The following is a 22,839-nucleotide window of genomic DNA, read 5'->3' on the forward strand; positions in this document are numbered from 1 at the left end:
GGCTTTCACATTGAGCAGGCGTCTGGATCCCGGGGGCTTGTTATAAATGCAGACGGCTGGGCCCCATCCCCAGAGGTTCTGATTCAGTAGCTCAAGAATGTGTATGTCTAACAAGTTCCCAGGAGATGCTGCTGCTGGTCCCAGGACCACACTTTGAGAAGCACTGCTCCAATCTAAAGCAATGGGAGAAACTCCCGGAGGATGTTCAGCAGGGGCATGGCATGAGTTGGGGTGCGTTTTAGCAACACGGTGCTATTCACCCCCATAACTCTCAAAGGTAATGTTCCAGGGAGATAAAGCAGGCACCCCCAGGAAAGCACAGGCCAGGCTGGACTCCAGTGCAACCGGGTGATAACAATTCAGTCAGAATTCACTGAGTAACTGACGTGGGATTTCCCTCCCAAGAAGAGCTATTTTGGTTACTGTTGCCTAAATTCTCCATTTCCTCACATGATCACCTACTTTAAAAAAAAAAAAAAAAAAACAGTAAGAGCTTGAAACATCAAAACACCAAAAAGTAAGATACATCTTCCTTTCTCCTTTTTTTTGAGACAAAGTCTCGTTCTTTTGCCCAGGCTGGAGTGAAGTGGTGCGATCTTGGCTCACTGCTGCAACCTCCACCCACCCAGCTTCAAGCAATTCTCCTGCCTCAGCCTCTCAAGTAGCTGGGATTATAGGTGCCTGCCACCATGCTCTGCTACTTTTTGTATATTTAGTAGAGACTAAACAACGGGGTTTCACCACGTTGGCCAGGTTGGTCTCGAACTCCTGACCCCAGGTGATCCACCCGCCTCAACCTCCCAAAGTGCTAGGATTACAGGTGTGAGCTACCGCGCCTGGCCCCTTTCTCCTCTTTATTCAAATGTGAAAGGATTGTTTTTACTGTTTTTACAAGTTCATCATTTTTCTGCAGCCAAGGCTGAGCCTACTGCCTTCCTTGTCCCATGCAGACAGACATGGTGCTGATCAGTGAGAATCCAGGTGCATCCAGAAAACATGCAGCCTAGACAGCTGGAGGCAAATTTATATGACCTCATGGAAGCTCTGCTGTTTCTATTGCTGTTGGGGTTGTGGGGAGTGATTTCTGCCTTAGGAGCAAAAGCCAGCCAATAGACCATGGAAAGGATCACTGGCCTCCTAACACCCCAACCCAGCATCCCCCATACTTGCATCTACACAAACCCTTAAAGACATACAGACACCACTGAAACAAAGAGGAACATCTGCCTCTCTCAATTTGCCACGTCTTTTCTAACAAAGCAGAGTCAGCTGTGGACGTGCAGGTTCATGGCTGCGTGTCCACGCCATTTGTGCCTAGAAACAGAGTCCCCGCACAGCTCCCTCCCGCACACACGGGCAAGCAAGAGGGACAATCCCTGCCGTTTTCCAGAGACCAGAGACCAGGGTGATTCTTTGGCAGCCGGTCTTCCAAAACTAGTTGGAGATTTTCCCCAGAGCACCTCGAAGCATCAGATTAATTTTCTGAGCATTTGCCACTGCTGTTCAGTATAAATGGCTACCTGAACCCCTGGTGATCCCCGATCTCCAACACCTCAGCTATTTTCAACTACAAAGAGCTCTGGAATGTAATGGCAGACTCTATTATTAAATAATGTCCAGTGTATGTGTGCTCTTTAATTCCAACAATGCACAGCTCCAGGGAAAACAAAAACAAAAAACAAACAAAAAAAAAACAGTGATATTTAAAACAGTTGGTGAAAGGGGGGGGGGGTCCATAATTAAGTTAATATTCAAAAGCACAATTCTTCCCAAGAGAAAGGGCCCCCATGTAGTCTACCTTCGTGTCTCCTGCACCTCATAATTGCCCTTAGCTCCAGTGGGTTTTCTTCTCACTCAGCCCGTCCAATGTGGTATTGCTGGAGTTTTGGCTGGTGGTCATTGGGAGAATGAGAATTTCTTAGGCTGTGACACAATCACACACGGAGGACACTTGATGAACCTTCATTTTTTAACTTGAAAAAGGATGGGTTCTTGTTTTTTTCCCTGATCTCAGAGTGAGGCAAAGAGAAATGACCTACACTTCAGCCTATGTGCTAAAGGGAAAGCTTACCACTAACTATGATAGCTGTCATAACAACTATATAGACACTGACAACAATTAGTGCCACTATCTACTGAGCACTTACAATGTGCCAAGCTCTGTTGAAATATTTAGCTTTATCATTCCATTTAATACCTCTGGCATCTGTAAAAAAAAAAAAAAAAAAAAAAAAAAAAAAAATTGTAAGTACGGTCTTGTGACCATCCCTAAATTATTTGATCAGCACATATTTCTTGAATGTCTGTTACGTGCCAACCGTTCTTCTAGACCCTGAGAATATCTCAATGAACAAAAGAGGCAAAACTTTCTGCCTTTCTGGAAGCTGTATGCTATTGGAAGAGAAAATAAATAAGATTAACAAGTAAAATATACCATTTTACAAACAGGCTGAGGCTCAGAGAGGTGGATCTACCAGCCCAAGCTCACACAGACAGTAAGAGAGACATCCAGATTCCATTCCCAGAACTCTGACTCCAAACCAGGTTAAGGTTTTCCCCATAGTTAAAAAAAAAAAAAAAAAAACACTTTTTTTTTTTCACCTCAGTTTAACTTAGGATGTAAGTTCTCTCCTGATGGTCTCTTGAAGCAAGCAGGGACATCTGGCTTCTCTGGCTTTCACTGTCATCTGTCTGCATTTCCATGCAGCCTGTTTTATGTTTTTACTTGCATTTCCATCTGGATAGGGTATTGCCCTTTATGCTTTTCTTAGGCATGCTTGATGTTGAATATTAAAATCCTATTTCTCTCTTCGTACCCCTCATGCATTATTAGCCACTTATTTCTACCTTTAAATTGCTGCACATGGCAGAACATTTCTTGATGCTTTTTTAGAAAAGCCTTTTATGGTAATTATAGCTTTCTTCAAGTGCATTTATTTTTCCCTTTTTACCGTGCTGTAGACATTACTTTGTTCATGCCTAATTTTTGTTAAGGCAAAAAGCCTGCCTAGCTGGTAACTGTGTGGACAGACTTTTTTTTTTCTAGTGGTTGGAATTTTATGTGTAGAACCTTGGAAACTCTCTCATTTCCACTCTGCCAAAGGCATCGGATTCAGCCAGAGTTATTCGTTCATCATTTCCCCCAACTACTTATTGAATACTGGCAATCCAAGAGTAAACAAACTAGACATGGTCCCTCCCTGACAGTTTTACACCATAGCAGGAACGCCTGGGGCAGCCGTTCGGTTCACAGTAGGGGCACCATTCAAAGTGTAGGTAATGACAACGGGCACATTTATTATGACACTTTTCCAGCAGGTGACAGTAAAATGTCTTAAGGAAGAGCTGCTACATGGCCTAGCGAGCATCAAGGAGGTACCAGCCAATTGTGATACAGCGGGGCGGGTAGTACCACATAAAGGAAAGGATAAAGATGCCATGACTGGTGCTGCTGGCATGAGCTTGGGAGCTTTGGAAAAGCTTCCAGGAGGAGGTGACTTCTGAGTGGGGATTTGAAGGATGTATTGAAGTTAGGGAGGTGAGAAAAGTGAAAAGGAAAGGCCGAGTGGCTTAAGTCTAACCAAAGCCTAAAGTGATATTGAGATAGGCTGATGTGGTAAGAGTCAGTTCATATGAAGTCAGCAAGCCCAATTAAGGACTTCAGACTTTACCCATGGGTCAATGGAAAGCTATTGAAGTGTTTCCAGCAGTGTCCAGAATGTGAGACATGGATGATGGTACAAGACTGGAGGCAGGGAGACCAGTTAGGAGGTTTCGACAAGCATCTGGACCAAAGATGAGGGTGGCTGGGGTTAATGTGGTGGCAGTAGGGGTGGAAGTAGAGCACAGATTCCAAGATATTTAGGAAGAAGGACAGATAGGAGTTCTTGCAGTTAAGAGGAAAATTAGGCAGAACTTGGTTGGAATTAGATAGAAGAGACAAGAGAAGGTAGGAGAGGAGGGGAACAATTAAGAATGCCTCCAAGGTTTCAGTGGTGGGCAATGGGGTAGATACCTGGATGTGCCATGCACTGCTCAAGGGGTCAGAGTTTGTGGGGAGGAAAGGTAAAGAGTCAGAATTCTTTTGAGTTTGAGGTGCTTATGAGTGTACAGGTGGGGAATAGATGGCTATGTTGAGACGCAAGTTGGAGTTCAGGTCTAGAGGTCAGAAGACTTGAGTTGAAGATTTAGGGGCCATCAGAATATAAGGGTGTGGGTTGTTGTTTGTTGTTGTTGGTGTTGTTGTTGTTGTTGTTTTGAGACCGAGTCTCACTCTGTCGCCTAGACTAGAGTGCAGTAGCACGATCTTGACTCACTGCAGCCTCTGCCTTCCGGGTTCAAATGATTCTTCAGCCTCAGCCTCCTGAGAAGCTGGGATTACAGGCACCTGCCACCACACTCAGCTATCTTTTGTATTTTCAGTAGACATGAGATTTCACCATTTTGGCCAGGCTGGTCTCGAACTCCGGACTTCAGGTGATCCACCCACCTCGGCATCCCAAAGTGGGTTTTTTTAAATCCCAAATTTCCCATCAGCTCTCTCTCTATAGGTTGGAATGTGACAGAACTAGCCCATTAATATCACTGGCGTCCTTAAAAATTCTCCCTGGGAAGAGGACTTTTGATCTCAGAGAGGAAGTCTCTATTATCTTCTCATGATTCTCAGAAGAGTTTATAGATATGAGGCAGGCAGACAGAAAAGATATAGTACGCCCCGATTGTTTTTATTCATTCAAGCACCTTCTATGTGCCTAAAACCAGGCCAAGCTCTGGGATCCAACAGCAAACAACCAAATCTTGGATCTCATGGGGGTTTATGTCTAGGGCTAGGTTTCTCAACCTTAGCACAGTTAACATTTTGGGCTGTATCGTTCTTCATTGTGGGGCCTGTCCTGTGCATTGTAGGATGTTGAGCAGCATCCCTGGCCTCTACCCACAAGATGCCAATAGCACCCTCCTCAAATTGTGACAATCAAAAATGTCTCCAGACTGGGCACGGTGGCTCATGCCTGGAGTGCTGTAATCCCAGCACTTTGGGAGGCCAAGGCAGGCGGATCACTTGAGGTCAGGAGTTCAAGACCAGCCTGGCCAACATGGTGAAACTCCATCTCTACTAAAAAAAAAATGTGTGTGTGTGTGTGTGTGTGTATATATATATATATATATATACACACACACACACACACATATATATGTATACACACACGTATATATATACATGTATATATGTATATATACACATATATATGTATATACGTATATACATATATATATGTACGTGTATACATATATATATATACACACAAAAAAAATCAGCTAGATGTGGTGGCATGCACCTGTAGTCCCAGCTACTCAGGAAGCTGAGGCGGGGGAATCATTTGAACCTGAGAGGCGGAGGCTGCAGTGAGCCGACATTGCGCCACTGCACTCCAGCCTGGGCAACACAGTGAGACTCCGTCTCAAAAAATAAAAATAAAAAATAAAAAGTGTCTTCAGACAATGCCAAATGTTTTCTGGAGAGAAATAGGGAGACAAAATTGCCTTAGTTGAGAACCACTGGAATAGGGTCATGATAGAACCTTTAGTCTCCAGGCAGCCAGCTCTCTCTAGCTCCATAAAAGAGGAACCAAATGGGTATGCTTTAAGGGGCTTTATATTGGTGGTCTTGGAGACAGGCAGTACCAGCCTGAAATCCAGAAGACTTCCTATAGGAGACTTCTTGGGTGCCCCAGTATAAGCCCATTAGCCCAATCCAACTTCGGTTATAGCATCCTCTCCAGAGAAAAGCCTCTACCTCATACCCATTTTGCCCTCCAGACTAATTACTTCCTAGGTTTTGTTTTTCCTTAAGCAGAAGCTGGCTTTGCACTTTACAAACACAAAGGATCACTTCCTCAGAAGGCCACCAGTAGAATGAACTTGTGCTGGGGTTAGCTTGGGGTTGCCTAGCAACGCCATGCACCTACCAGGGCTGTTCTCTTCCTCTTCAAGCTAAAAGCAAAGTCCTGTCCGTTAATTACCAGCTGCCCTGAAACTTCTCAGAGATTTGCCAGCTTCCTACTTTTCTTGTTTTCATCTTCCTCATGTGATGTGGAGAAAACCTGCTACTGTGGTCTGTTTATTTCACTTCAGTTGGTCTGCAGGGGCAGGTTGGGGAGGAAGCAAGAGAGGAAGAGAAGGGGTTAAAAAAAAGCCTCATTCAATCTAGAAATATATGTATTTTGAGTGCGTATCTCTGACTGACACGCTAGTGTTTTTTGCAGATTTAAATTTGATGTAGCGGACGTGGGTTTCCTATACAATGAGGCTTCTGTTGACACATTGGACATGAATTTAGTCAGACATGAGACCTCAAAGTAGCTAAATAACAAAGCTCCACCAAATAGATACCATGCTGAGCAAATGTTGGTAGGTCTGTCATTTAGTGTATTTTCCGTGATCCATTCCCCAAAACTCTACCAGTAGAAATTGTTAAAGCTGAAGGTAGCTGGAGGTTGGAGAAATTCTCTTTTCCTTGAGAACCTGTGAAATGTCCCTTGGTCTTTTCCTACTGAGCTCATTTTGTTCCTGCAGAAATGTTTGTGGCATTTCTCTGCAACTGGGGACGGCTTTCCCTCCACACACCGTCTCACGGTATGAAGTGAACAGGGGTTTTCCAGGCAGGACCACAGTCAGGAAAAGCATGGAAATGTGAATCTGGGCTTTGTGAGGAGAGGTGTGTAGACCAAACAAGCCTTTCCAGGTGTGCAAACACTGGTGCTTTACTTGCCTGCTGGACTTAGTGCCAGGCTGTGCAACAAAAGAAAACAGATTCCCTGGTAAGAGTCTCCTTATTTGCCCTCTCAAGACAGCTTGGCTTCCCTAGGGACTGGCCCACATAGGTCTCTTCTGTTGCATGCACTCCTTGCTCAGATCCTAATCCAATACCACCTTCTGGAAAGGATGAGAGGCAGCAAGCACTGAAGAGTGAAACTCCTCTTCCTAAAGAAGTAAAGCTTAATTGTATACCCTTGAGACCTTGCTTCTTAGGAAGATGCCTTTAAATTCCCACCACTGGCCAAGCATAATGCTTCATGCCTGTAATCCTAGCACTTTGGGAGGCTGAGGCTGAGGCTGGAGGGTCATTTGAGGCCAGGAGTTCAAGACTAACCTGGGCAACATAGCAAGACCCAATCTCTACTAAAAATTAAAAAGAAAAAATCGCTGGGCATGGTGGCACACACTTGCAGTCCTAGCTACTGAGGAGGCTGAAGCAGGAGGATCACTCAAGCCCAGGAGTTCAAGGTGTCAGTGAGCTATGATCATGCCACTGCACTCCAGCCTGAGTGAGAGAGTGAGACCCTACCTCAAATTCCCACCACTGCCATATGCATATATTAGGTTTATCAGCATTCTCATAAGGGGTACTCAAGAGAAAAGAAGGAAGATGCTAGGTGAAGGCCTCTGGAACACCGGAGAGAAGAGCAGGGGAGATGCATGCTTTTGATCCACAAGATTTGGGCCAGGAAGGTTTCAAATCAATTACCTCCATCATTACAAAGCTTTTTATCCTCTGCCATGGCCCAATCCAGCCTGCACTTTATGTAGTTTAAAAATAGATGTAGAAAAAAATGGAAACAGAGATGGTGGCAGAGGTAGAGATAGGACTCGAGATAGATATTCAAGGAAATTACTTTCTGGGGAAAAGTAAATTAATGGTCACTGGGGTATATTTAAATTAAGCAAGAAAACATATCCCAAGTGCACAACTCTGCAAATTTACTAGAAGTCATCGCATTGTACACTTAAAACAGGTGAATTTTATGGTGTGTAAATTATGCCCCAACAAAGCTGTGAAAAGAAAGAAAAATGAAAACATGTCTAGGAATTCTTGCCAGCACGTAGGTTTTGTGAGTGTGGCCACATCCTAGTAGTTCTCTGCTTCTCTCCTACCTGTTATAAAGAGTCACGGAGGCTCTGCTAGTGAGACCTTTCCCATGTCTCTTTAGTGTACCTCCTTTCTCCACTTTTCTCCCCCAGTCTCCCTTTGTCCAAACTCAGGTCAGGAGAGTGCTGGCTGCAATTGTTTTGGGTCCTGGAGTAATTAGAAAATTACACAGGCAGCCAATTTTGCACAGACACGTGAGCGCATGTATACACACACACACACACACACACACACATCAATAAAGGAAAAGAAATCCACAAAATAAGAACTACTCCTACCCCACCACCCTTCCCCGAGCACATATATTTTTTCTTCTATCTTTCCCCAATTCGTGGCACCCAGCATCTATCCACTCCACAGCCTTCGAATCCTGCAGTATTTTTAAATTGTGCCATAAATACGTTGAGTGATAAGCAGCCAACATCTTTAAGTGCCCCTTAAAACTAAATATTACCTGTACAAGCATATGAAAATAGCCCAGCAGAACCATCCAGTTTTCAGTCATGAGAAGCTCATGATAATCCTATGTAAATATATCTTTAAAACTCTGAAAGATGGCGGGCACTTTGCCTCCATCCTGGGTTGATAGGGAATTTTTTCTCTTCTACAGAAGAGCACTTCTTAAAAAAAGAGAGAAAGAAAAGCTTCTTTTCAGTAGCATCAATCCTGAGCTATTGGCTGGAAACCACAGCCTAGCTAGTCTGGTTGTCAGCTCAGCACTGGTTTAGTTGTCTGGGATGTGCATTGAACTCCCCGCTTTGGGAAGGTTGCCTCTGACCTAGGTCAGTTGTCACTGGGGATCCCCTGCATCTGTGACCCCACTGTGTCTTGCTACTGCATGCGTTGCCTGCTCCCCTGACTCTGTGGAAGGCAGGCGCGGGCCCCACTGTGAGGCTGGCCCAGCGGCTGCCCTGCGGCCTTGCTCCCCTCTGCATGGCTCCCCTGCTTCCCCAGCGCGGCCTCACGTCCCTCCTTCTCATCCTCTCCATTTCTCCAACCAGATGGCTGCCCTGACTTGTGCAACGGTAACGGGAGATGCACACTGGGTCAGAACAGCTGGCAGTGTGTCTGCCAGACCGGCTGGAGAGGGCCCGGATGCAACGTTGCCATGGAAACTTCCTGTGCTGATAACAAGGATAATGAGGGAGGTGAGCACGCGTCTTCTCATTCCCAGCCCCTAAGAGCAGAGCGTTGTCCATGCTTTTGTCATAAGTCATTTTTCTTCGGAAAGACCTCCCCTGCACTATTGTCAAATGTTGTTGTAACATTTTCTTTGAAGCAAATGCAGCAGAGAACAGGTGTCCTTATGCCAGGGGGGATCTCTGGGAGACACCGGCTGGAGGCACTGGGGGTTGATACTGGCTGAGAATTCCCAAGTGCCCATTGCCACATAAAGGTGGCTGGGCCCTGGCGCTGCCTTCAGGGTCACCAGTCCTGCCAGAACTTTCAGGGCTGCGGATAACAGTCGGTGACAATGAGGATGACAATCTATGCCTAACGCACAAAGCTGTCATAAGCAATGCCTGCTGCCTTCATCCTTACAGCCCTTTGAGATGTCACTCTACAGATGAGGAAACCGAGGCCTGAAGAGTGATTAAGTAACTTTTTCGAGATAATCCAACCACCATTAGTAAAATTGAGACCCAAACCCAGCTGTGGCTCCAAAGCGTCTTTTCTAACCAGTAGTTGGCAAACTATGGTCCATGGACCAAACCTGGCCTGTAAGCTAAAAATAGTTTTAACATTTTTAATGGTTGGTGGAAAAAATCATTAAAAAGAACAATATTTGATAATGTGAAAGTTATGTGAAATTCAAATTTTGATGTTTATAAATTTTTAAACAGCTTTATTGAGGTATAATTGACATATAAAAAGTTGCGTATATGGCCAGGCACAGTGGCTCACACCTGTAATCCCAGCACTTTGGGAGGCCATCACCACCATCAAGGCCATAAACATGTCCATCGCTTCCCAAAGTTTCTTCCTATTGACTGAACCAAGGGTTGGGCTGCTTGTTTTCAAGGTCCAATAACAAGATGCAGACACACTGGGAAAGTAACCAGAAATAAACTCTCCCAGGTACAGGGAGAAGGCCAGAGATAATTCACCAGGCCATCTCTAAATTACAAAGTTTTCCAGTGTGTATATACCTTCTAAGCTATGTGTCTACATGTAAGTGTGCATTCATCTGAAGACACAAATGATTGATTCCATCTAATCTATAACTAAGGTTTGGGTCCTGGACACCTTCCTCCAGAGCCTCAGTAAATTTGCTTAGCCTAGATGGGTCCTGGTGCCGGGGGTGATTACCCTTATCTTTTCTCCAGCTAAGGTGTGGAGGTCTGGGGAGTTCCTTTAGACTCCCAGTAAAACTTGTTTAATCCTAAATGGGTCCTGGTATGAGGAGCATGAGAATTTCTTCATTATCTTGTGAAGGTTCAAGGCCCAGGAAAGGCCTAGGCAAGACTCTTGGTGAGCTTTTGTTACATTCCAGCCTTTGTGTAAGTGCGCTGGCTCTTTCCGCCTTTAATATTTAACCTAACCATTCATTCAGTGCCAAAACAGTTGTCATGGAGGCCTGCCTGTTCAGCTGGTGGTGAGACCTGGCCTGCCACACTGCTCTCTTTGTGATTATTGTCTTGGGGTGATTTTTTGGTTTTAAGAGTTTTTGTGGTAAGAACATTTTAACGTAAGATCTACCCTCTTAGCAAATTTTGAGTGTACACTACTTTGTTAGCCATAGATACTATGCTATGTGTAGATCTCCAGAATGTATTTATCTTGTATCGCTGACACTTTGTACCCCTTAACCCACACCTCTCCATTTATTGGAATACAGCCATGCCCATTTGTTTATGTTTGGCCTAGGGCTGCTTGCACTCTCCATGTCAGAGTGGAGTCAAAGCAAAAACCACTTGGCCATCAAAGCCTAAAACATTTACTCTCCGGCCCTTTACAGGAGAAGTTTTCTGTCTCCTGTTCTAAACCTCTGAGCTGAATTTCCCCATGTTCCTTCCTGATGGAGTGCTAAGATTCTGGGGCTAAATGAGGTTGGGTTAGCATGTGGGCCACCTAATCTCCTAAGAATACTGTGGAATGTTCCGTAGACTTCAGTACAGGTATGTTATCCACCCCCATCAAAATTACTAACTGATCAGAATTCACTGGGGGCAGAGGTTGTTTCAGAGTGTAGGAAGATCCATGAGTCCAATCATTTGATTTAACAAAAATGTATTTAGTGCCACCTTGGACCAGTCATTGAATTCTAGGGATATCAATGACCAAGTCAAAGTCAGCCACTGCCTTCATGGCCCCAACAGGTCCTTTCAGTGGTGTCCAGAGCAGGGTGGAATCCATCGGGGTGGTGGATGAGAGTATTAGATATTCTATTTTTATTTTTTCTCATCCTCTTAATGGGTATTTTGCAGTTTCCATAATTTATGATTGCCATTGTGCCTGTATGTAATTTGTAAATAAACAGATGTACATACACTGATAGGAGTACACAATCAAAACAGTTTACAGACCTGATGTGGTTTACAGAGCTCCCATTCATTCATTTTCTCTTTCCTGAAACAGAGCCAAAGAGAAGTCACTTTAATTCATTTTTTAACAAGTTAAGGCATAACTACATAATGCATTTTTTTTCAAGTCAGAATCGCACGACTTTTGCTGGTAAGGTTCACTGCTTTTCCTTCTGCCTCCCTGGCGATTTCATTGAGCACAGCGGTTGCTTACAGATCAGCTTCTACTTCCAGAAAGGAGCTGCTCTCCTGGCTCCCTTCCCCGTTCCTGGTGTCAGCAGCTGAAAGCATAACAAATGGCTGGAATGCCACACAGAGGGGAGAGAGGAAACTCTGGGGGACTGTCTCCCCAGCATACCCTGCCTTACCCACCTCCCTCCCCACCAGCCCTACCCCTGATCCCAGCTTCCACCCGGCCAAAACCAAAATCCTGAAGTGATGGAGCTAAAAGAGGCTCACAGGGTCCCCGGGCCTAAGGGTTGCCCACCAGGCACAATTCAGGATCCCCCCCCCAACCCCCCCCCCCCCCCCGGCTGGCAGAGACAAAGCAGTCCAAAGGCAGGGCACAAAAGCAAATGAGGCAGTGGTGATTATGCTAAAGACAATAATGGCCTTGTTACGGGAACTGTTAAAGCAAACCTCCCAAGGAAGTAATTAACCACAAAGAAAAAAAAAAAAAAAGGCTGCATGGTGTTTATGAAAAGAAACTCCCAGTTAATTCAGAGTTGCTTATGTCAGGTGAGAGGGGTAGACACCAATTCTCTCTCACCTGGCATAAGCAATTCACAATTAACTGAGTTCTTTTTTTGGAGGTGATTCCTCAGTGTAGAGTATCCTTTTTATGGTTAGTGACTTCCCTAGGAGGTGTGCTAAGCACTTTGCTGTTTATTGATAAATATTAAGGTTGCTCCTCATCAACTCCAGATTCAATCCTGCAGCACACTAATTATATCACTCTTTTTGTTTGGTTGGGGTGGGGATGGGAGTTCTGCCCTCGTCTCTGTCCTGCTTCGTGAGTTATCAGGAAGGGCTATGTGAGTTTATAAACCTGGCAGTGGGTCAGAGAGGCACCCGGGCAGAACATGAATGCAGACCCGGGGAGCAGCAGCAATGAACACATTTGTTATAAATTTCATGAACGAGCAAAATAATAGAGCTATCTACCAAAGTGGACTGGAAAAGACAAATCACTTTTCCATCTAGAAACACTCTACTTTAAAAAAAAGAATCTGTTTGAAGGGATATGTATTTTTTATTTTAAACTGAGATAGATATAGATACAAATAACAGATAGAGATATTTGAAACCTTTAACAGCCTTTTTTCAACCTGGGTTCCTCTATGAGAGAATTAAGCCCTAATACTTTATGGCCACTAGTAGTTCTGAAACTTCAGCATGCAGCAAAACCACCTTGATTCAACACAGAGTGCTAAGCCCTATTCCTAGAGCTCCTGATTCTCTAAGTCTGGGGAGGGCAGTGCAAGACTGAATTTCTAGTAAATATCCCAGCAGTGCTGACGCAGGGGACGCTGATGCAGGTCCTCTTTGAGAACCACTGTCCTAAGCCATCCATTCTATGTAATGAATTAACTTCTCTCCTATGCATCTAGAATGGTACTGGATAAAATAACTCCTTTGGAAGAACTGAGAAAACTTTCACTCAAATATGCTCTGTAGTCAGCAGTGTTGAGATGAAAATCCCTGTTGGAGAAGGCTGCCTTAGAATATCCCCACCAAAACAGTTTATGCCAACTCCCTGCCTTCTCACCCCCTTGGCTTTCAAAGTCTCCAGACACCCCCAGTCATGTGACCGCCACTCATGTAACCTCAGGAAGCAATGGCTGATTCTGAAGGGACAAGCCACACCTGCCCATGGCCACTAAAAAGAAGTGGAAATGGTTCAGACAGACACGGCAGCTGGCAGACTGTCTTTTTAATAGTGAGAGATCTTCACTTGAACTGCTCACCCCAATTTGAAAAAGAAGAGACTCAAAGAAATATTTTTGCTTACAGAAGACAAATACCAGCTCATTAAAGTCTGAGAATACACACAACATGTGCACCAAGTGACAGGCGGATAATATTTAATTATCACCACCAAGACAGAGGTGTGAGATTTAGTTCATCACAGCCAGGGGTAGGAGAGAGGGTGTAGGTTTCCTCTAAAAGTGGGAACTGCAAGGTGAGGAGGCGTTGTTAGACTGTCTGGCCTGGTGAGACAGTCCTTACTTCTTCCCCACTCCCCTTTATCACCCTGAACTTAGAGTCAGGAGCCCTAGCCCTTCCATCATTTCAAGCCGGCATCGGAGTGAGTCTGAAGCTCCTGTGGAATCCTATGAGATGCTTTCTCCCATCTGTGGGCAGCGGTGACAGTGGAGACCAAGGGAGGTGATGTCATAACCACATCACCTGGAGGTAGGGTAGGAGGAAGCCTTTTTAGGCTGAGCCTGTCCCGTCACCCCGCATCACTTTCTTCCTTACTAAACTAGGAGAGATGTCTTTTCCCCTCGTTCCGTTTCAACACAGCACTGAAAGATGTTTTGCACCTTCTCTTTCATGTCCCTGGTTTCTGAACAGGTGACACTGTATCATCATAATTGATTGAGGGCTTGGGCTTCAGAGTCAGCCTTTGTATTCCAGCTCTGCAAGTCACTTTGCTTCTCAAAGTCTCAGTTTTCTTATCTGTAAAATAGGCATGGCAATGCCAATGTCACTAGCTGGTGTGAAGTTTAAGTGAGAAAATGCATGTGATGTATTTTACAAGACACCTGGCTCATAGATGCCCTCACACGTTGGCTGCTGCTAGCATTAACATTATTAATATTAATGTTATTTTCTAGAAAGGAGACTGAATTCATATAGATGGAACCCAACCAATAATTTTTCCAGTGTACACAACCACAAAGATTCTAACTTTGTGCTTATTGAACTTTAGTGCTGCGTGACTGTGTGGAGGGCTTGTTTAAAAGTCAGATTTCTAAGCCCCCACCTTTGAGGTTCTGATTTATTAGTCAGACATAGAATGCAGGAGTCTGCACTTTTACCACGCACCCCAGAGTGTCTGATACAAGTGTGTTTGCTCTGCAGATGACATTTTGAGATAAACTTTTTAAAATAATGGTGTTCCCTGGGTGGGCTCACCCAGCCTAATGTCATAGTGCTTATACCCCAAACCCTTTCCCCTAAAATCCCCAGAACACAGGAGTGCAGTGAGGAGAGGGGAATTTTATTTCAGGAAGAAATAAGTAGCTGAAAAGACATGAAGTCTGGGCATGGTGGCTCACGCCCGTAATCCTAACACTTTGGGAGACCAAGGTGGGTGGATTACTTGAGCTCAAGAGTTCAAGACCAGCCTCGGCAACATGGTGAAACCCCATCTCTACAAAAAATAGAGAAATTAGCCAGGCAGGCATCCTGGCATGCGCCTGTAGTTCCAGCTACTCAGGAGGCCGAGGTAGAAGGATCGCTTGCTCAGGAAGTTGAGGCTGCAGTAAGCCGTGATTGTGCTATTACACTCCAGCCTGGGCGACAGAGTGAGACCCTGTCTCAAAAAAAAAAAAAAAAAAAAGACATGAAGATATCTTTATGTTTAGGTCCTTTGTGAATGACTTCAGTATGATTTAGAAGTTCTCCATTCTTGGGTGGAGAGTTGGCTGATGTTTGTTTCAAAGTTTAAAAACCTTTAATTCTCTGTCATTAGGGTATGAATTCGTCTATCCACTCATCCATCCATCCATCCATTCATTAGCTTATTCATTTATGGTTTAACAAACATTTGTTGAGGGTTTACTAAATGTTAGACCCTGAAAATAAGCCTTTAGAAATACTAAAGCAAACATGACATATGTCCACAAAGAGCTCACTATCCATCTACAAAGATGGATAAACACATTGTTATTATTATTATTACAGTCCAGCATGTGAGAGGTGACAGAGATGGACCATCTTATTAGACGGCAATAGTTCAGTGGGAGCATAGCAAAGGGACTGTCACGTGTATGGGTGTCAGGAACATGACATGAGAGAAAGCGCAGCCCATTGTTAAGGACTGGCTCTTCAGCTCGTCTCCATGGAGTGTCCTCAAAGCCACAAATCCGTGTGATCAGTAACCCGTGGTAGAGGCTCTTCAGGTCACTAGCAGTTACTGCAGTTCCCTCTCTAAATGAAGCACTCCACTCTGGCTTCTCTGCAGAGCAGTATTTCCCACCCTACCTCCATCTGCAAGGCTCGGTTCCTTGGTTCACTCCAAAGGAGGCTGCCTTGGGTTAAGAGACGTGGATCCTGGCCTGAGCTCTGGGCATGCCATCCAAGGCACTCCAGCCAGGTCTAAATGAGGAGAAATAACACTGGAGTCTGTCCAAAGCACTTGGAACAGACAAAACTCACCCCTCGCCCACTGCCTCCTCCCGCTCCCTCCCCATCCCGTAGCCATCCAAATTGGTTTGACACGATTCAGGAATGCTCTTCCGGCATTTATCTCACTTGCTAATTAATAACTCACCTTGTCTGTGCATTTAGCAGAGCCAAGCTAGGGACTTCAGGGACTCCAAAAGGGTTCTGGTTCCCATGCCCAAATAGTCCAGTTTCTTCCTCCAATGAGACACAAAGCTTGGTGAACCCACTGTAAATGCCTTGATTAATGTATCCCAATCGTGTTGATGGATTGGTTGGGTGGGGGACAGCTTAAAAATACAATATTGAGCTATTAATTGGGTTGGATGAGGATTCCCTTTGCAGTCCAAAGACCTTGTGGCAAATGTAGCTGGAGCCATAAACAGAGTCCCTGATTAGCTCCCAGAGAGAAAAGCAATGTCTCTAATGCTTAGGAGGAAAACTTGGCCTTGAGGACACTGCCAGCTGGCCAGATGCTGGGTCTCTCTTCTTTAGGAGGGAAGCAGAATTAGCCTCAACTGAGATCTTCAGGGAACACATAGCAACAGGGATCTGAAGTTATTCTGGCTCTTCCAGTTGAAATAAGATCTTTGACTTCCTGGGCATATTTGACTAGAGAATCTTCTGTTTAGAAAACTGTAAGGTAGGGGTTCAGTTTTCTCTTATGCTACTGAGGTTTAGAAAAAAGATAGAACCAGCTGCGCACGGTGGCTCACACCTGTAATCCCAGCACTTTGGGAGGCCAAGGAGGGCAGATCACTTGAGGTCAGGAGTTTGAGACCAGCCTGGCCAATATGGTGAAACTCTGTCTCTACTAAAAATACAAAAATTAGCCGGGCATAGTGGCTCACACCTGTAGTCCCAGCTACTCAGGAAGCTGAGGCATGAGAATCGCTTGAACCCAGGAGGCGGAGGCTGCAGTGAGGCAAGATCGCACCACTGCAGCACTCCAGCCTGGGTGACAGAGCGAGACTCCATCTCAAAAAGAGAGAGAGAGAGAGAAAGACAGGAGGGAGGGAGGAAGGAAGAAAGGAAGGAAGGAAGAAGGAAGGAAGGAAGGAATTCTCTTGCATATAAAAATAATAATCAGTAAGATTTTTGAGAGCTTACATGTGCCAAGCACTGTGCTGAGCTTGCTCTGCACCTGGGTTACGGGAACAGCCTCCCAAGTGGTCTCCCTGCACTCCTCTTGCCGTCTGCTCTCTGTTCCTCCACACAGCAGCCAGAGGGAGTGTTTTAGTAGGTTGATGCAAAAGTTATTGTGGTTTTGGCCATTGAAAGCAATTAATTTTGCACCAACCTAATACATTGTAAATCTCATCATTCCATGTTCTCAAAGGGTTTCTCATGGAGTTAGAATCAAAATCAGCTGTTTTTTTCACCTTGGCTTAGAGGGCCCTCTGTATATCCCCTGCCTTGTCTCTGACCTGTCCTCCCCCATCCTCTCCGGAAGCTCTGCCTCATCCACTCTGGCCGGTGTTTAGACTGCACAAGTGCAAAGATTAGTTCCACCCGAGGGTCTTTGCTAGTGCAAGGTGGAAATGCTCAGTCAAGGCACATTGTATCACTGGCTCAATGTAGTCATTCAGTTCTCAGCTCAAATGCCTCAGAAGGACTTATTACGAAGTCTTCCTCTGTGTCTCTCCCATCAACCATTAGTGTTTCCTTTATGGAAATATCACACTCCTAAATTTTCTCACGCTGTTATTCTTGCAGATTGTCTGTTTCTTCACACTAGACTGTAAGTTCAATGAGTCTATTTCATCATATTATTTTCATTATACAGATAAGGATACAAAGGCTCAAGAAGTTAAGACTCAGAATAGCCCTTTCAGCTAACCACCATGATATATGGCTTTTCTCCTTTAAAACCATTGGCTCCTTTTTTCTAAAACACTCAAAAAATTTGGACAGTGTTTCTGAAGAAGATTCAAACAAGTACAGAATGTGTGCTGCTGCAAGGAAGCCTTAGAAAAAAACACCTCAAAGACAAAACTTTTCCATTGAAAACCTTTTCCTGGTACATGTAATTGACCATTGAATTAGTTGTGTTCTTTTTTAAAAAAAGGGGTTTAAAGTTTATAATTTACCCAACACAGCACTTTCAGTCTTTTTTAATCAAGTCTTTATTAGTTTAAATGGTTATTAAGTGTCTCTTAAGGGATTATGTTTTTTTCCCCCTGATTAGATGACAAATCAAATATCCATTATGAAATTGTGATGAAAATGCATAATCTGAAAAAAAATTTTAATCATGTAAATCACTATGGACTTATTTTAGGGAATTAAAGGATGAAAACGCAGATTTCACTGGTGGCAAGGAGGTGATATTGATAGCGTTATGTTGGCTTCCTGTATTTGTGCTTTGGCCAGAGCCTTGCCCTAGATGGTGGCAGGCACACCCTTGCCATCCCCCGGTCTCTGTGACCAGCATTTGAATAAAGAGGCAAGGTCCTCGTGCCATCACTAGCTCTCTTGCTCCCACAGTCTTCCCCCAAGTCCAGACCAGTGGTTCCCTACCGGGGCAACTCGCTCACCCAGGAACATCTGGCAATGACTGGAAGCATTCACGAGTCATGGTGGTGGGGAGGTGGGGAGGTGCTACTGGCATCCAGTGGGTAGAGGCCAGGGTTGCTGCCAAATGCCCTACACACATAGGAAAGCCCCAAATCAAAGAATGATCCCACCCAAAATGTCAATAACACCAAGGCTGAGAAATCCGATATAGACATTTAATGTCCCAGGAACACATCTGTCTGAGGGACCAGAGGGTCCCAAAACAGGCAGTGTCCATGGGCCTGATTTGAAAGGACGTGATGTCCAAAACCCTAAGGCATTGAGCCCTTACTAAGGGCCAGGCCCTTGCTAAAACGTCACCCACATTGCCTAAATAAATCATGACAATCCCCACAAGAGCCCTGGGAGTCTTTCATTATCCTTTATATAGAAGCAGAAACTAGGAGCCAGAGAGAACAAGTGGCTTGTCCAAGCTCCCACGGCGAAAACATAGCCAAGCCAGGATTCAGAACCTGGGTCAAGAACCCTCCTCTGGGCCCCTCACAGCACCTGAGTGTTTGTTGTGTTTGGGCTCAGAGCAAGGCAGAGCATAAGTGCTTGAACAACCTCCGCCCCTCAGAAACACGAATTTTGCAGCATGCTTAAAAATACCATCGGCGTTAGCTTTTCCCTCCGGTTTTGGATTTGGAATGCATTTTTGCCACAAAGCACTTAGGCACTGAAATGCCAGGGGGTGAGCAGGGGAGAGTTGAGCAGCTGGACTTTAAATAGCAAGGTGTTAGCAAGCAGCACAGCAAGAGCAGCTGCCCAAGGCCTGTGCTCTTTTCTTTGACTTTCTATCTTCTCAGCCAAGAGCTCTGGGGGATTGGAGAGGGGCCAGAACTCTGTGGCCAAATGCAAATCCAGAGAAAACTGCGAGGTGTTCCCCCAAACCTCTGTGCCTAATGCTTCTCTTCCTCCCCACTCACAACCAAGACCAAACCTTTCCAAGGTGATTCTCCTCCTCTGCCTGTCCTCAGGGTATGTCATCATGGAGCTCTCCCCACCTCCTTCAGTTTCCTGGAACTCCATGGCCACGTGCACTGAGGCACACTACCTCTTTCATTTATGAGAATCACAGGATGATTTCATTTATGGGAGTCTGGAAATGTCAGATGCAAAAAGGCTAAACTATAGAGTCCCCGGCAGCTGCAAAACCCAAGGAGGGAAGCCACTTACTCAAGGCCAAGGAGCAGGCAGGGCAGACCTGAGACTGGAGTCCTGGTTTCCTGGCTCAAAATCCAGTGTGCTTTTGTCAATGCTGCGTTGCCACCAAAAGGACTCAGTGACACTCAGGAGAATGGGTGCCTGCCACTACTGGTTGGAGCCAAGATCTATTTCAGACCTGGGACCTAGATTAGAATGAGTGGAGATGCCTAGGGTACCTCACAGTGAGTGTCGCCTTCACTTTCGCCCCCTCAGCCCCTCATTCACCTCTTCCTAGTTGCAACCCTGCTCAGACCTCTTGTCATTGATGGCAATGACAGAAAACACCCTCCCCCACACCAGCCACACTCCTGGACAGACCACTCACCACCAAAATCATTTATTCATCCAACAAACATATACCAAGCCCCCACTCTGTGGCAGGGCATGTGAATGAATAAGACTCAAACTCCGCCCATAAAGATGCTCTGTCTGGTGGGAGGTAAAATACACACTAAAGCTGTCACTGCAGAGCCACATTTTAAGGGTCCATAATAGAAGTAAGGCCAAGAGACCATGGCCGCTCACAAGAGAGGCACTGAAGACTTCCAAAATAGGTACAGCTTGAATCTTAAAAGATAAAAAGGAATTAGGCAAGGAAGGAGGGAAAAGCATTGTGAACGAAGGGAACGGCAAATGCACAGAGGCAAGGAACAGCAATGCCTGTGTGGGGACCTCTGAGAAGCCTGGTACCTTGCAGCCTAGTCCACATGGAGAATGGAGGAGGATGAGGCTAGAATGGGGTTTGCGTGCAGTGCTGGGCAGAGCGCAATACAGCCATCATATTTGTTTGTGCCTCCCATCAACATAGCATCTCAGTCTTCAAAATTGCAACCATGCCTGCCCCTCAGACAGAAGGCTGATATATCTGCTTGAGTTATTATAAACACACACACCACAGCTGAGAAGCAGGCGTGGCCTTTTGTTGTGTTGCCTCCATTGCACATGGGCATTCTTTCTCCCAGGGAGGGGAGACAGCCTGGCAGGGTAGTCAAGAGGCTTTGGGATTTGAGCTTCAGGTCACGTCCCAGCTCCTCCACTTCCTCAAGATATGAGCTTAAATTTAAGCTTTGTCCTCTGTAAAGTGGAGCTAGGGCTAATTTCTACCTCATAGGATACTGTGAGGCTTAGATGAGTTAATGGATGCAAAACAGTCAGCACAACGGTTCGTATACATCTTATACGTCAGTGAGCATCAGAATCACCTGGAAGGCTTCAGGCACAGATGGCTGGGCCCCACCCTCAGAGTTTCAGATTCAGTAGGTCTGGCAGGAAGCCCAAGAATGTGCATTTCTCACAAGTGCCCAGATGATGCTGTTGCGTTGAGAACCACTGACTTAGCGTAATACGTGCCTTTTGAAGGGAAGCTCAAGTGCTGGCAGAGGGATTCCTCCGAGCGTGTCAGCCCTGGGCCAGCTGATGAGGAGAGACAGGCCAAACAGCTCTGCATCCTGAGGCGGTGGCCACTTCATTAGCATATGGACCTTGGGTACATTCCTGGGTTCACTGAGGTCCTTTCCACAGAAGCTTGTCATCCGGAGAGGAGTCAGGGCTCCAACTTCCCGGGATCCATCCTCCTCCTTCAAGAGTGTTGGAATAAACGAAAAATGTGGAAGGAGTTTGCTGGGAGAGAGCAGTGGTAGCTGGCCCTGGTTCCTTGCCTTTTATGACATTCTGCTGCTTCTCCCATGCCCCCTGCCCCACTTAGGACAGGTGGTGCTGTGCCATTTACTGATGGGGTCCACAGACTTTGGAATCAGACGGACCTAGCTGTACATTCTGACTCAGGTTCTTACTAGCTGTGCTTCCTTGAGCAAAGGACCTAACGTGTCTGAGACTCAGTTCTCTCATCTGTAAACTGGAAACAATGATATCAACTTCATTGGCCTGTTGTAAGGTTTGACTAGAAAGTTTATAGACAGCAACTTAATGCCCCTTTACTTAAATGGCTGCTCTAAGTGTTTGCATCTCCCTGTATGATGTGAGTTCAGAGATTCTAAAAACATACACTGCCTTCCAATCAAAAACTCATCATTTCAAATAATACATACATTTCAAAATCAGGAACCCATCTTTTGGTCCCTGTTATAATACATTTCCCTCAATTTCATCCCCACTGGCTCTGGAATGAGTGCTGTCTTCCCTCAGAGGTCATGAACCGGTGACCCCCAAGCTGGGTGGGTCACTGTCATGTTCCCTTTAGCCACATAGGCTTACAAAAATCTTTGCATTCATTGCTGACATTTAGAGGATTTCATTTAACTAACAAAGAAGCTGAGGGCCTAGAGGTTAACTTGCCCAGAGTCAAACAGTGGAAGGGCTGGGATTGGAGCCCAGTTCTTTTGATTCTAAATGTCTTGTTCATTCTTCTCTCAGACCCTTTTTCTGAAAGTATTTTTATGCCAGGTGTGCCAGAGTCCAAAGCCACTAGGTGTCTGGGGTTATGCTGGAAAAGAGGAATCCATGGAGAAGACAGATGCAGAAAAGAGAAACAGCAGTCCCCGGAGCAAGCTTCTCCTGCTCTTACTTCTGCCATGCTCACTCAGAAAGCTTGTGGCTCAGGGAGTGTAGAACCAGGGAGAAAACCCCAGCCTACCTGGGGTCCATCACTCAAAGTCTTAGCCCTTTGACGAGCAACACTAATATCATCACTACCCAACTAGCACACCGTCTGCCAGGGAGGCCATTGCATAGGCCTTTGACATGCCCTCTTTGTCTATGCATCTTGCCACACAGATTTTGGGATGCCCCCTTACCTGGCCTCTCCATTCCCTACTCTTAATCCTTAAGGCCATGATTTCTTAATAGCTTTCCACCTCCACTCAGATCATGCCAACAACTTCTCTGCGCTGGACTATGGGTCCTCCAGCTTCTAATCTGTTCCCCACAGAGCAGCTAGAAGAATCCTTTCAGAAGTCAGATCCTATCACACCCCTGCTCAAGCCTTGCCAGGGCCTCTCATCTCCCGTAGCATGGCACCCAGGTTGCCGCAGTGGCTTCCATTGCTCTGCATTAGTGAGTCCCTGCTTCCATGCTGATCTCATTTCCTCTCTCTCTTCCTCGTCCTCTCTCTGCCATACCTGCCATCTTGCCATTCCTACAACTCACAGATACACTTTCACCCTAGGCTTCTGCACTTGCTGTTGCCTCTGCTCAGAGTGTTCTTCTTCCAGATGTTTCCATGACTCATTTCCTCATTTCGTTTAGGTTTCTACACGAACATCACTTCTTTAG

General features: G+C 45.4%; 1 protein-coding gene and 1 non-coding gene across 34 annotated transcripts in view, besides 1 other annotated feature; both read left to right on the forward strand.

Moving 5' to 3' along the window:
* Window positions 1-22,839, forward strand: part of TENM2 (teneurin transmembrane protein 2) — a 1,285,129-nt gene that overhangs the window by 1,174,654 nt on the left and 87,636 nt on the right. For all 33 annotated transcript variants that reach the window (XM_047417418.1, NM_001395460.1, XM_017009661.2 and 30 more), the window contains one exon: window positions 8,929-9,075. In XM_047417418.1, coding sequence (XP_047273374.1) covers window positions 8,929-9,075 — 147 coding nt within the window. The remainder of the gene's footprint in view (window positions 1-8,928; window positions 9,076-22,839) is intronic.
* On the forward strand, window positions 12,163-12,247 carry MIR12125 (microRNA 12125). Its single transcript, NR_162139.1, has one exon. It is a non-coding gene; the product is annotated as a microRNA 12125 (primary transcript).
* Window positions 20,804-20,873: a silencer, noted in NCBI's record as "silent region_16593". NCBI's record gives its function as "represses an Ori minimal core promoter by ATAC-STARR-seq in GM12878 lymphoblastoid cells {active_cell/tissue: GM12878}" and the evidence as "EXISTENCE:reporter gene assay evidence [ECO:0000049][PMID:35858748]".

Source organism: Homo sapiens, chromosome 5 (assembly GCF_000001405.40).
Source record: "Homo sapiens chromosome 5, GRCh38.p14 Primary Assembly".
Lineage (NCBI taxonomy): Eukaryota > Metazoa > Chordata > Mammalia > Primates > Hominidae > Homo > Homo sapiens.